This window comes from Homo sapiens, chromosome 10 (genome assembly GCF_000001405.40).
Source record: "Homo sapiens chromosome 10, GRCh38.p14 Primary Assembly".
Lineage (NCBI taxonomy): Eukaryota > Metazoa > Chordata > Mammalia > Primates > Hominidae > Homo > Homo sapiens.
The window spans coordinates 95,727,283-95,740,836 of record NC_000010.11 but is presented as its reverse complement, the minus strand read 5'-3'; the positions used below and the strand labels follow the sequence as shown (position 1 = coordinate 95,740,836).

Sequence of the window (13,554 nt, the reverse complement as noted above, 5' to 3'; positions counted from 1 at the left end):
AGAAGCCAGCAGAGGTTGGTTCATGAGGTTTAAGAAAGTAAGCCACCTCCGTAATGTAAAAGCGCAAGGTGAAGCAGCAAGTGCTGATGGAGAAGCTGCAGTGAGGTATCCAGAAGATCATGCTAAGATCATTGATGAAAGTGGCTACACGAAACAACAGATTTTCAATGTAGATGAAATAGCCTTCTTTTGGAAGAAGATGCCATCTTGGATGCCACATTAGGCCCTTCATCCTCTGGGGGCCAGTAGAGTTTTTCATAGCTAGAGAGGAGAAGTCAATACCTGGCTTCAAATCTTCAAAGGAGAGGATGACTCTCTTGTTAGGGCCTAATGAAGCTGGTGACTTTAAGTTAAAGCCATTGTTAATTGACCATTCTGAAAATCCTAGGGCCTTTAAGAATTACGTTAAATGGGCCGGGTGCAGTGGCTCACGCCTGTAATCCCAGGACTTTGGGAAGCCAAGGCAAGCAGATCACCTGAGGTTAGGAGTTCGAGCCCAGCCTGGCCAACATGGTAAAACCCCATCTCTAAAAATGCAGAAGAATTAGGAGGGCTTGGTGGCACGTGTCTGTAGTCCCAGCTATTCGGGAGGCCGAGGCACGAGAATCACTTGAACCCAAAAGGTGGAGGTAGCACTGAGCCAAGATCATGCCACTGCACTCTAGCCTGGGTGACAGAGACTCCATCTCAAAAACAAAAAGGATTATGTTAAAGCTACTCTGCCTGTGCTCTGTAACTGGAATAAAAAAGCCTGGATGACTGTAAATCTGTTTACAGCATGGTTTACTGAATATTTTAAGCTAACTGTTGATGGCTGCTGCTCAGAAAAAATATTCCTTTCAAAATATTACTGTTCATTGACAATGCACTTGATCACCCAGGAGCTCTGATGGAAATGTACAAGAAGATGAATGTTATTTTTATGCATGCTAACACAACATTTATTCTGCAGCCCATGGATCAAGAAGTAATTTCAAGTCTTATTACTTAAGAAATACATTTCATAAGTCTGTAGCCATCATAGATAGTTCCTCTGTTGGATGTGGGCAAAGTAAATCAAAAATTTTCTGGAAAGGATTCACCATTCTAGATACCATTAAGAACATTCGTGATTCATGGGAAGAGGTGAAAATATCAACATTAACAGGAATTTGGAAGAAGTCAATTCCAGCCCTTATAGATGACTTGGAGGGGTTCAAGACTTCAGTGAAGGAAGTAACTGCAGATGTGGTGGAAATAGCAAGAAAACTAGAATTAGAAGTGGAGTCTAAATATGTGACTGAGTTGCTACATCTCATGATACAAATGGAGCAGATGAGGACTTGCTTCTTATGGATAAGCAAAGAAACTGGTTTCTTGAGATGGAATCTATTCCTGGGGAAGATGCAGTGAACATCGTTGAAATGACAGCAAAGGATTTAAAATGTTACATAAACTTACTTGATAAAGCAGCAGCAGGGCTTGAGAGGACTGACACCAATTTTGAAAGTCCTACTGTGGGTAAAATGCTATCAAACAGCATCACATGCTACAGAGAAATTGTCATAAAAGGAAGAGTCAATTGATGTGGCAAACTTCACTGTTGTCTTCTTTTAAGAAATTGCCACAGCCACCCCAACCTTCGGCAACCACCACGCTGATCAGTCAGCAGCTATTAACATAGAGGTAAAATCCTCCAACAGCAAAAAGATTACAACTCACAGAAGGTTTAGATGATCATTAGCATTTTTAACAATAAAGTATTTTTAATCAAGGTATATACATTGTACTTTTGCAAATAATGCTATTGCACACTTTATAGACTATAATATAATGTATAATATAATGTAAACATAATTTTTATATGCCCTGGGAAACCAAAAAATTTGTGTAACTTGCTTTATTGTGGTGGTCTGGAACTGAACTTGCAATATCTCTGAAGTATACCTGTGTATACAATCCAAAGTGTGACTTCAAATTCTCGAGTCTGAGTGCAAATTCTTTTTCTCTCCTCCTCATCTAAATCCTTCAACATCCCACAGCACCTAAACCAGAGTGTGCCTATGTGCTTAATAAATAGGTAATCTTCTTTGGCTGTTGTGATCTCCCTCTAATTGTCATTTTAAAAAGTGTAAATTAGATCTCTTTTCTCATCTTACCCTTCTGGCAAGCTACTCAAAATAGTCAGATCATCATGAGTATGCATAGCCTATTTATGGTGAGTCTTGGTTTGAGGTGAGAAGGAATAGGTCTTCTCCATCTCACCAACAGGGTATGCATTTCTCTGACGAATTTTGCCTTTCTTGACCCTGACCACACACAACTCCTTGGCTCCCTGCTGACTGCCCACTATATCCAGCTTTGGTGCAGGAAAATGATGGGACCTAAGCCTTTGGACAGTGACTCCTGATCTGGCCAAGCAAGGGGCCTCCCTCACTTCAGTTTTGGCCCTAGGTTTGCCTACTGCCATACTTCATTAATATCTGACAATTACCCCATCCTGGTAAAAGCTGGTTCATATTCTTATCTGAGCCCTTACCATCTAGAAATCAAGGCAGGCACAGGACATTACCAATCTAATCACCAGACAACCATGCACACACAGAGATTCCAGGGGCTAATGCAAAACAGTGTTTTCTCCCTATGAGGCTACTGAGCAGTCCATGTGAGCTCAGTATCCATATCCCTGCTGAGCATCATTCACGCAATCATTTATTCAATAAATATTTACTGGACACCTACCATATGCCAGGGACTTTTCCAGAACATTGGGATCCTCTCCTGGTCTCCTTCATCTTCCCTCCCTTCCTTTCTCCCTACCCAGAAGTCCCAGCCCTCAACTGATTTGTTCCACCAGGTTTTCCTCTTACAGAGTGGTGGTGCTGGTGGTGGGATTCAGATGCTCCAGGTACCCCAGCATGATACGTTTACAAGTCAAACATTTTTCCAGCTAATTTGGCCACCTATCATAGTTATAGATTTTCTGTTGTTCCATCATAAGGGTTTGAGAGGAATTCTGCAACAAAGGTGGCTGTTCCACAGTCATTGCAATTTAGAGCAAAACTCAATTCCAAGTCTATTCAATTCAAATAAATACAAAACAAAATTCTTTAGAATGAATTTTAGGGCTGTGTAAATAATTTAAACATTGGGGAAAAGTTTTAATTTTTAGGCCGGTTGCAGCAGCTCAAGCGTGTAATGGCAGCACTTTGGGAGGCCGAAGCAGGTGGATCACCTGAGGTCAGGAGTTTGAGACCATCCTGGACAACATGGTGAAACCCCGTCTCTACTAAAAATACAAAAAAATTAGCCAGGAGTGGTGGCAGCCACCTGTAATCCCAGCTACTCAGGAGGCTGAGGCAGAATAATTGCTCAAACCCAGGAAGCAGAGTTTGCAGTGAGCTGAGATCACACCACTGTACTCCAGCTTGGGGGACAGAGCAAGATTCCATCTCAAAAAAAAAAAAAGTTTTAATTTTTTTTTCTACTGTCAATTCTCCAGAGAGGTTTTTCCATTTCTAAATTAGGCCCCCAATTAACTCTCACAGAGCACCTTCTATTCATTCTTCATAGCACTTATTCAATTTGCAAAGATTTACATATGACATCATTGCTTAATATCTTACTCCCCCACTAGACGAGCTCCACAAGGGCAGGAACCATTTCTGTTTTGTCCTGCACTGAATAGTAGACTGTACACAGAGCCTGCACATAGTAGGAAAACAGTAAATACTTGTTGAGAGGACAAAGATTCATTTGCCTAACCCCCCATAAATCCTTCTTCATACTTCTAGCTCCACTACTTTATCTCAATATTGTAGAAAGTGGCTTAGTTCAACTTCAGTAGACTCAAGTGGAGGCTCTCTTTCATGCACACACACAGACAAAATTACTTTTGGTAAATATATAGAATATATGTAGACAGTTTTATATTATAGCATTGTTTTTAGTGTCAGAAAGCAGAACAAAGCTGAGAAACTACTGGGAGTAATTGACTAAATTATACTGATGAGGGGGTCAAGAGCTGAAGTTTATATTTTTGCACCTATCAGTCATTAGTTAAGGGTTGGGGGGTGGAAGCATAAATTCAAAGGCACTTATGGCCCCCGATGTGCATAAATGAAGCACATTCCAGTAACCTGAGGGTCATTTGCTCATAAAGTGATGCAGGGCTGGGCTGTTGGGAGGATAACTACACCAGGAGTTGGAGTGCACAGAAATAGTGAAGAGATCTGAAGGGGTGTGCGTGCAACCATCATTGCTACATTTTAACAAAAACCTATATATGCACATCATGCAAGAGCATGAAAAAAGATGAACAAGAATCCTCTGAGGGAGGAACAGAAGAGAAAATGGCTGGAGGGGTGGGAAAGGAGTTTATTAACTTTTTCTTTATGTATTTTCATATTATTTCTATTAAATATTAAACATTTTAATAAACATTTTAGGGGAAAAGGTTAGCTAGAAACTTTTAATAGATGTACCATTCCCAAGCAAAACTCCTCCTCAGCACACGAATTGGTCACACACATTGCTCAAAACTTTGAAAATTTTCTAGCTGGGCACGACAGCTCACATCTGTAATCCCAGCACTTTGGGAGGCCGAGGCAGGTGGATCACTTGAGGCCAGGAGTTTTCAGAGCAGCCTGGGCAACATGGGGAAACCCCATCTCTACTAAAAATACAAAAATTAGCCTAGCATGGTGGCATGAGCCTGTAATCCCAGCTACTCTGGAGGCTGAGGCAGGAGAATTCCTTGAACCAGGGAGGCGGATGTTGCAGTGAGCTGAGGTCATGCCACTGCACTCCCATCTGGGCAACAGAGTGAGACTCTGTCTCAAAAAAAAAAAAAAAAACTTTGAAAATGTTCTAAAATAGACCAAAGTACGTAACAACTCCTATTGTTTTCAAATTCATTGTTCAGCTAAAACAGGCAATCTTCCATATTAAAAACTAAAGTCAGCCGGGGGCAGTGGCTCATGCCTGTAATCCCAACCCTTTGGGAGGCCAAGGTGGGTGGATCACCTGAGGTCAGGAGTTAGAGACCAGCCTGGACAACACGGTGAAACACTGTCTCTACTAAAGATAAAAAAAATTAGCCGAGCATGGTGGTGCGCACCTGTAATCCCAGCTACTCGGGAGGCTGAGGCAGGAGAATCACTTGAACCCGGGAGGTGGAGGTTGCAGTGAGCCGAGATCGCACCATTGCACTCCAGCCTGGGCAACAGGGCGAGACTCCATCTCATATAAACAAACAAACAAACAAATAAATAAATAAATAATTGTATTAAATATTTAAAAGGTTTTAAAAGCCAATTGGAGGTCTAGAATTTAATTAAAATTTACCTGCATCAACTACTGTTACAAATAACTTATCTGCTTTGGCAATCAGATTAAATGATATCTTCTATGAAATACTACGCATACTTGTGCACAATGACAAACACAGTATAACTTGAGATTCTCTGGAAACAAATAGATTTCTTTTGACTTTGACTGAAAGACACATCTTGATTTCCAAACACTAAAAATCTATTTTTGCCAGGCATGATGGCTCACGTCTATAATCCCAGTTGAGGCGGGAGAATCACCTGAGGTCAGGAGTTCAATAACAGCCTGGCCAACATGGTGAAACCCCGTCTCTACTAAAAATACAAAATTGGCCAGGTGTGGTGGCACACACCTGTAGTCCTAGTTACTCAGGAGGCTGAGGCAAGAGAATCACTTGAACCATGGAGGTGGAGGCTGCAGTGAGCCAAGATTGTGCCACTGCACTCCAGCCTGGGCAAGACAGAGCAAGACTCTGTCTAAAAAAAAAAAAAAAAAAAAAAATCTATTTTCATCAAGTGCTTTGGAATCCAGGAAATACAGATTCAATGTAGAAAATGCCTGTAACCCTACCCACCCAACTGTAATTTCTTCCATGAAAAACAGAAATTGCACAGAGGTCTCTGCTCTGAAGCCTGCACAATGACAAAGGAGTCTGTGAGATGGAGAACTAAAAGAGCGAAGGGATCTTCACCCTGTGTGCCATGATGCCTTGACACTGACACCAAACAATGTTGTGTCTGTCTCTATAATCCGGAGGATGGGCAATATGGATTTTGTGACATAAAAATCAGTGTGACATATGACTACCATAAAAGAAGGAATTAACAGACTAAGTATTTTCTTCATACTTGACTAATAAACATTTACTACATGTACAGTTACTTGTTACTGTACTTTATGTTATGAAATCGGAGCAAGCAAGAAAAGAATCCAAGAGAAAATCATTCCTTCCCCCTTCTCCGTTTAATTGTTCTTTCCTCTGCCCAGCTGGAAGAAGCTCTGTGGAGAAGAGCCTGCAAGGTTTCCAAATTGCAAATAACATATCATGATTTATTATAGATACATTCCATTGCTTAGCCTCCCCTAGAGCCCTTGCCATATTCTGCCCTTTTTGTCTCTGTTTTTTATGCATGGAGCAAGTTCCATCTTAATCCACCACATATAGGTGTCCAAAAAATTCTGCTCTTTATTTTCTTTATATCAACTTAAATTCATCTCAAGTCTCTGGCTCTCTGAGCTGGCAAGAAACTCAATCTGTCATTACTGGAGTCCTCTTACCTCCTTGGCTTACACCAGAATCTGGGGAAAGTGCATCTATAGAAACTGGGAGAAGGGTTTCTAATCTCACACCTAGCTTGATCCCATCTGATATTCTCACTGCCCAACCTTTCTTTCCCCATGCTAAGTAGGAAAGGGGGAGTGTGGTGAGGGGGCTTTGCCTCAGCTGGACGCCCTGGTGCTTGGAGTGGAGCATCTCTGAGACACCATGCAGCTGTCCTTTCTGACGTATTACCCAGCAGGACATGACCACAGAACAGGCAAGAGTCCCCATTACCCATAGACCCATGAACCTTCATCCCTTCCCAGTGACCCAAAACTTTCACTCTTTCTTGGTCTTCAAAGGTACCCCTTTATTCTTCCCTATTACCTTATTGCTTTAGGGAAGCTTGCATAATTTTGACAATGAGCCAGGGTAGGACTGGGAACCCACAATAATTAACATCTTAACAAAGAATTCTGCCACTCACACTTATGTTATCATTTCTTCCCACACAGAATTTCTCTTCGCTCCTCACCCCATCCTCCATTACTACCAAACCTGGAGTTCCAGAGAGAATGTTGCAGGAAGTCAGGGACCCGGAAAAGAGGGACTGACTGAAGCCATGGCAGGAGAACATAAATTGTGAAGATTTCATGGACATTTATTAGTTCCCCAAATTAAAACTTTTATAATTTCTTATGCCTGTCTTTACTGCAATCTGTGAACATAAATTGTGAAGATTTCATGGACATTTATCACTTCCCTAATCAATACTCTTGTGATTTCCTATACCTGTCTTTAATCTCTTAATCCCATCATCTTCATAAGCTGAGGATGTATGTCCACTCAGGATCCTGTCATGATTGCGTTAACTGCACAAATTGTTTGTAACCATGTGTGTTTAAACAATATGAAATCTGGGCACCTTGAAAAAAGAACAGGATAACAGTGATGTTCATGGAACAAGGGCGATAACCATTAGGTCTGGCTGCCTGAGAGCCAGGTGGAACAGAGCCATATTTCTCTTCTTTCAAAAGTAAATAGGAGAAATATTGCTGAATTCCTTTTCTCAGCAAGGAACAGCCCTGAGAAAGAGAATGCATTCCCAGGGGTAGGTCTCTAAACTGGCCGCTCTGGGAATGTCTGTCTTTTATGGTTGAAGATAAGGGATGAAATAAGCCCTGGTCTCCAGTAGCACTCCCAGGCCTATTACGGTGAGTAAATTCTCACCTAGTAAATTTTTAGTCAGACTGGTTGTCTGCTCTCAAACCCTGTCTCCTGATAAGATGTTATCAATGACAATGCGTGCCTGAAACTTCATTAGCAATTTTAATTTCGCCCCCGTCCTGTGATCTCACCCTGCCTCCATTTGCCTTGTAATATTTTATTACCTTGTGAAGCATGTGATCTCTGTGACCCATACCCTATTCATACACTCCCTCCCCTTTTGAAAATCACTAATAAAAACTTGCTGGTTTTGCGGCTTGGGGGGCATCATGGAACCTGCCGACATGTGTGTGTCTCCCGTGGATACCCAGCTTTAAAATTTCTCTCTTTTGTACTCTTTCCCTTTATTTCTCCGACTGACCAACACTTAGGGAAATAGAAAAGAACCTACGTGAAATAACGTTGAATTATTGGGGGCGGGTTCCCCTGATAAGGGAAGAGTCTGTTTATTACTTATTTTATCTTTCCTAAAATACCTAACATGGGGATTCACGACCACTGCATTTGAGAGAGCAAATCCCTCCCAGCAGCCCCTACAAATTTTCATTGATATGTAAAAAGAAAATTTTTATTTTTGCTACAACTGAGTGTAAATATTGTCACAGTAATGCCTGAGATGAGAAACAAAGTAGGTTAGATGGCTGGGTGTGGAATAGCTTTGTTGTAACTAAGACGTACATGGTTAGTGTGTCATCAGGTTGGCACTACAGAAAAATTGCAAGAACTTTGCCTCCATGAAGAATACAGCTAGGGCAGAACAAGCTCTTCTCTAACAGCCACCATCCTGACAGCCACCAATAACCCCAACCTTGTACTGGCATTATGGTGGCAATAGCACTGTAATCATTGCTGGCCTAATTAGTATTGTTGTCAATCATTTAATTATCTCATGTGTCTCAAAAAAGTATAGTATTCGAAGCATGCCTCTGTTGCAGTTACTAAAGGATGTCCACTCTGGCCGGACACAGTGGCTCACACCTGTAATCCCAGCACTTTGGGAGGCCAAGGCAGTTGGATCACCTGAGGTCAGGAGTTCAAGGTCAACCTGACCAACATGGTGAAACCCCGTCTCTACTAAAAATACAAAAATTAGCCGGGCGTGGTAGCAGGTGCCTGTAATCGCAGGTACTCGGGAAGCTGAGACTTCAGAATAGCTTGAACCCAGGAGGCGGAGGTTGCAGTGAGCCGAGATCACACCACTGTATTCCAGCCTGGGCGACAGAGCAAGACTCTGTCAAAAAAAAAAAAAAAAAAAAAGGATGTCCACTCCTCTAATTCTTACCTTCTTCCTAACTAAAAGAATATCCAATGTTAGACACACTCAGCATTTGGGGCTCTGTCTTGATAGGGACCCCCTGGGAAACAGGTGTAGAATACAGCTCATAGCTGTTCCAACTCAGGGGAACAGAAAGAGAGAAATTTATCCACCAGTTCCTACACATCATTCATTAAGGGGTGTTCCCTGGAGAAAGCAACTATCCAGAACCTCTGGCCGGTCCTGTGCATGGGCTAAGCGTGTTTCTATGGCCAGAAAAAGCCATCAGGCAGAGAGTGGCAGGTATTTTCAAAAGAAGAAGCCACCACCATTCATAAGGAATGGTGAGGGCTGAGGGTACATGGGTAGGGGGCCCAGAGGGTCGGCTACATCTTCAGTTAAAGAGTACAGCCACTACTCATCCATGGCCCAGCAGGGAAGGAGCTGAGGAATAAATACCAGATCTTGCTCTGCTCCCAGCCTCCAATCTCCTGCTGAACCTAACCAGAAGCCCCCTGATGCAGTTCACTCTGGCCGGTCTCTCAGGACCCAGAGCAGGGTGGAGGAGAATGGAGAATGAATACAGAATATCCAGCACACTAGCCTTCAGGCATTCTCAAGTCTCAAGATTTAAAATCTCAGACAGCACTGTTTGGCTATAAAAATATTATGACATGTTTATATATTAGCTAAAACTAGTGAAACTGGAAAAGATCTTGGAAAAGTTACCTGAGAGACCAAACAGTTGAAGAAAAATCCTAAATAAGAGGAGACTTGAATTCTAGTTCTGGTGCTGATAATTATTAATGACGCTACTTTAGGCAAGTCCTTAGCAGCATGGGCTGTTTCCTCACCTTCACAGTAGAGTAAGATCTATTGACCTAATGAAGCTATTATGAAAATCAAAAGAATGGGAAAATGCTCTGTAATCACAAAGGTTATACAAGTGTGAGGTATTAGTATACCTTCACTTTTCCAGACAGATAGGAAGCAATTCCATTGTTAAACACAACACTGTTAAAAAGAAATGCCACTATTTTTGTTTCATTGTGTTTTTCAATTAGGAAGACATTTACATAAATATTTACCACCACATATCTTTTTTAAAATAAGAATGGCTATAAATAAATAACACATATTTACTTACAATTATTTTCTTACCACTAATCTCTCACCAAAAATCTGCATTCTAATTATATATCAGTTTCTAATAAAGTCATAGTTTTTTCCCCATTATTTCCTTTTATTTTTCACTGTACTTTACTTTTTCAGCCACTTCCTCTTTTGTCCTTATATGCTTTAACATTTCTGATGACCCAGTAATTATGCCCAAGATTATGATTGATTCTTTGTCCTTTCTCTTTTCACTTCCCTTTTAATGTAGAAATATAAGCCAAATGGTGGTGGCACCACTTGATTATAGTGGGAAATACTGGCACAGTGGCTCACACCTGTAATCCCAGCATTTCAGGGGGCTGAGACAGGAAGCTCACTTGAGCTCAGGAGTTTGAGAACAGCCTGGGCAACATGGCGGGACCTTGTCTGTAACAAAAAAAAAAAAACAAAAGAACACAGAAATTAATGAGGTGTGGTGGCATGCATACCTGCAGTCCCAGCTACTCAGGAGGCTGAGGTGGGAAGATCACTTGAGCCTGGGAGATTGAGGCTGTAATGAGCTGTAATCGTGTCACTGCACTCCAGTCTGGGTAACAGAGTGAGAACCTGTCTCAAAAAGAAAGAAAGAAATACTGGGAAGAATAGCTTCTGTGTGCAATAATCAAATCCAGTGAATTAGGAAAAACATTATTAATGTTCCTAAGTGGAGATTTCAGTGTTTCTGACTTGCTACAAATCAGGAATCGGGATATCACTAAGTTAGAGAAATTCATGAAACAAAAGGCAATTATTTCCTCTAAGGCTATCTCGCTGTTATTGTCTTAAGATCCTCCCAATGTAAAGTCACTCTTTTGGCTGGAATAAAGTTTTTGAAAAGGAACATTAGGGGAAGGGAGATTGTTTTTAAATGTACCACTACTAGGAAAATAAGCATTTGTCAATTCTTACCTACCCAAGACAACATAGAGTGAGGTAGAGACTTAAGGAAACAAAATTAGAAATTTCATAAAAGGGAACATAAAGTTGCCATTCTTTTTGCTGACTCTATTGTTTCAAGTCTTTGCAGTGGGTGGGAGTAGGAAATTTTTCTGGGAAGGAAAAGGTTTTGCCCGCTTCCTTAAAGCAAGTCTACTCTATTTTAATTAGCTTTCTAGCTGTTATCTCTTTACTTCACATAAGGAACACTGCCAACACTCCATTTTGACACCATCCTGAGGAAACAGATAGTGCCCTCCTGAACTTTGGTAAGAAGCATAACACATACAGCAGCTTAAGACTGACTACTCCAGGAAACAGTTTTTGAGTAGAACCTCCTTCCCAATAAAGTTAAAGGAAATTACTTTCTAAAAATCTCTATGAAGTGATAAGCCACTTTCCATATAGGTACTTTTCATGCTTCATACTGTGTTTCTCTGAATATAATTGGTAGGAACTCCATTTAAAATGTTAGGATATTTGATGTATTTAAGGACAGAAAGAGAAAGGCTGGAGAGAATTCAAGTACCTTTGAACAACTCAAGTTTGAACTTTGAGAGTCCACTTACATGTGGATTTCAAAAAATATATATATATTTTAAAATTTTTAGAAATTTGCAACAATTTGAAAAAACATGCAGATGAACCATGCAGCCTAGAAATATTGAAAATACTAAGAAAAAGTTAGGTATGTCATGAATGCATAAAATATATGTAGATATTAGTCTATTTTATTGTTTACTAACATAAAATATATGTAACTCTATTATAAAAAGTTAAAATTTATCAAAACTTACACAAACACAGACTATACATAGTGCCATTTGCAGTTGAGAGAAATGGAAATAAACATAAAGATGCAGTATTAAATCATAACTTCATAAAATTCACCGTAGAACATACTGTACTATTGTAATGATTTCATAGCTACCTTCTGTTGCCATTGTGGGGAGCTCAAGTGTTGCAAGAATCTGCTTAAAACACTGTGTGACGAACATCATCTCTGTGTGAGCAGTTCATCTTTCCAGTAAATTGTGTGTCACAGTAAAAACTGATCTCTCATGGCTCTCACATATTTTTCATTGTGTTTAGTGCAATACTAGAAACCTCGAATAACACCGTGGGATCCATAAAAAGTGCCACTAGTGATGCTGGAAGTGCTCCCAACAAGCAGAGAAAAGTCATGCCATTACAAGAAAAAGATGAATTGCTTGATATGTACCATAAATTGAGGTTTGCGGCTGCAGCTGCCCACCATTTCAGATGGACAATTCACCTTTTAAACAGACAACATAAACTTACAGTATCCATAAATACAGTATAGTACTGTAAATATATTTTCTCTTCCCTACAATTTTCTTAATAATCTTTTCTTTACTTAGCTTACTTTATTATAAAAATACAAAATATAATACATATGACATACAAAATATGTATTAATCAACTGTTTATGTTATCAGTAAGGCTTCTGGCCAATAGTAGGCTATTAATAGATAAGTTTTGGGGAAGGCAACAGTTACATGCTAATTTTTTATGAGGCTCAGCGCCTATAGCCCCCACATTGTTCAAGGGTGAACTGAAATATGAAACAAATTCAATAGTTAGATAGCCTAAATAAGCTATTATTTTCATATTCCCAAACTTGCTAAAGATTGCTCCAGTTTGTAATAACTAAAACTACAATGAAGTTGTCTTAGGATTTAAAAAATATTTTGGATGGGAAGGATAATAACTTAATAATAAACTTAGATAATTTAACTTATACAAAATATTTATGTGAATACTGTGATGTTTGTACAACTGTCACTCCACATATAAAAATTCTAGATTTGTTTAGATTTTGGCATCAGACTGCTAGGAGTAACCATTTAGGTAGATGATATTATTGCAGCATTATTTTTAACATGCTGCTAAGAGAACTTCTATTAAACAACCTCTATCACTTGCCTGCTGACATCTTAAATTTTTTTAAACATGGCTAAATTCATTTACTCCACAATTAGTTGTAAATAACCATGAGAAAAGTAATGCAAGCATATATCATTTCTAGGTTAAAATAATAAGAAAATACATGTGCTTAAAGGAGTTAAAACATTGATCTCACAAGCAAATGGTGGGATTGGAGGTAGAGAGATTGCATTCTTCCCACGGCACATCTTGAGTCCTTATAACTGATTGACACGTGAGGGAATTCTTTCCACAAAGAAATGGGTAATAAATGAAACAAATCTTTATGATCGAAAAATATGAATCACATATAAGTTATCAAAGGGATTTCCTAGACAACTTCCAAACAGGAGGTAGAGACCTTGAGGTCATCTGTAGACTGAATTTTGACCACCATTCTCAGATACAGAGAAAAAATTTCTAGAGAATAAATATGAATGGAAGCCTTATGTTTTGGAGGTGG

At 39.8% G+C, this 13,554-nt stretch overlaps 1 protein-coding gene across 6 annotated transcripts in view, besides 1 other annotated feature; it reads right to left on the bottom strand.

Moving 5' to 3' along the window:
- Nucleotides 1-13,554, bottom strand: part of ENTPD1 (ectonucleoside triphosphate diphosphohydrolase 1) — a 183,082-nt gene that overhangs the window by 136,430 nt on the left and 33,098 nt on the right. The window lies entirely within an intron of this gene.
- Nucleotides 7,598-7,798: a silencer, noted in NCBI's record as "peak1056 fragment used in MPRA reporter construct". NCBI's record gives its function as "represses an SCP1 promoter by STARR-seq MPRAs in K562 erythroleukemia cells {active_cell/tissue: K562}" and the evidence as "EXISTENCE:reporter gene assay evidence [ECO:0000049][PMID:32103011]".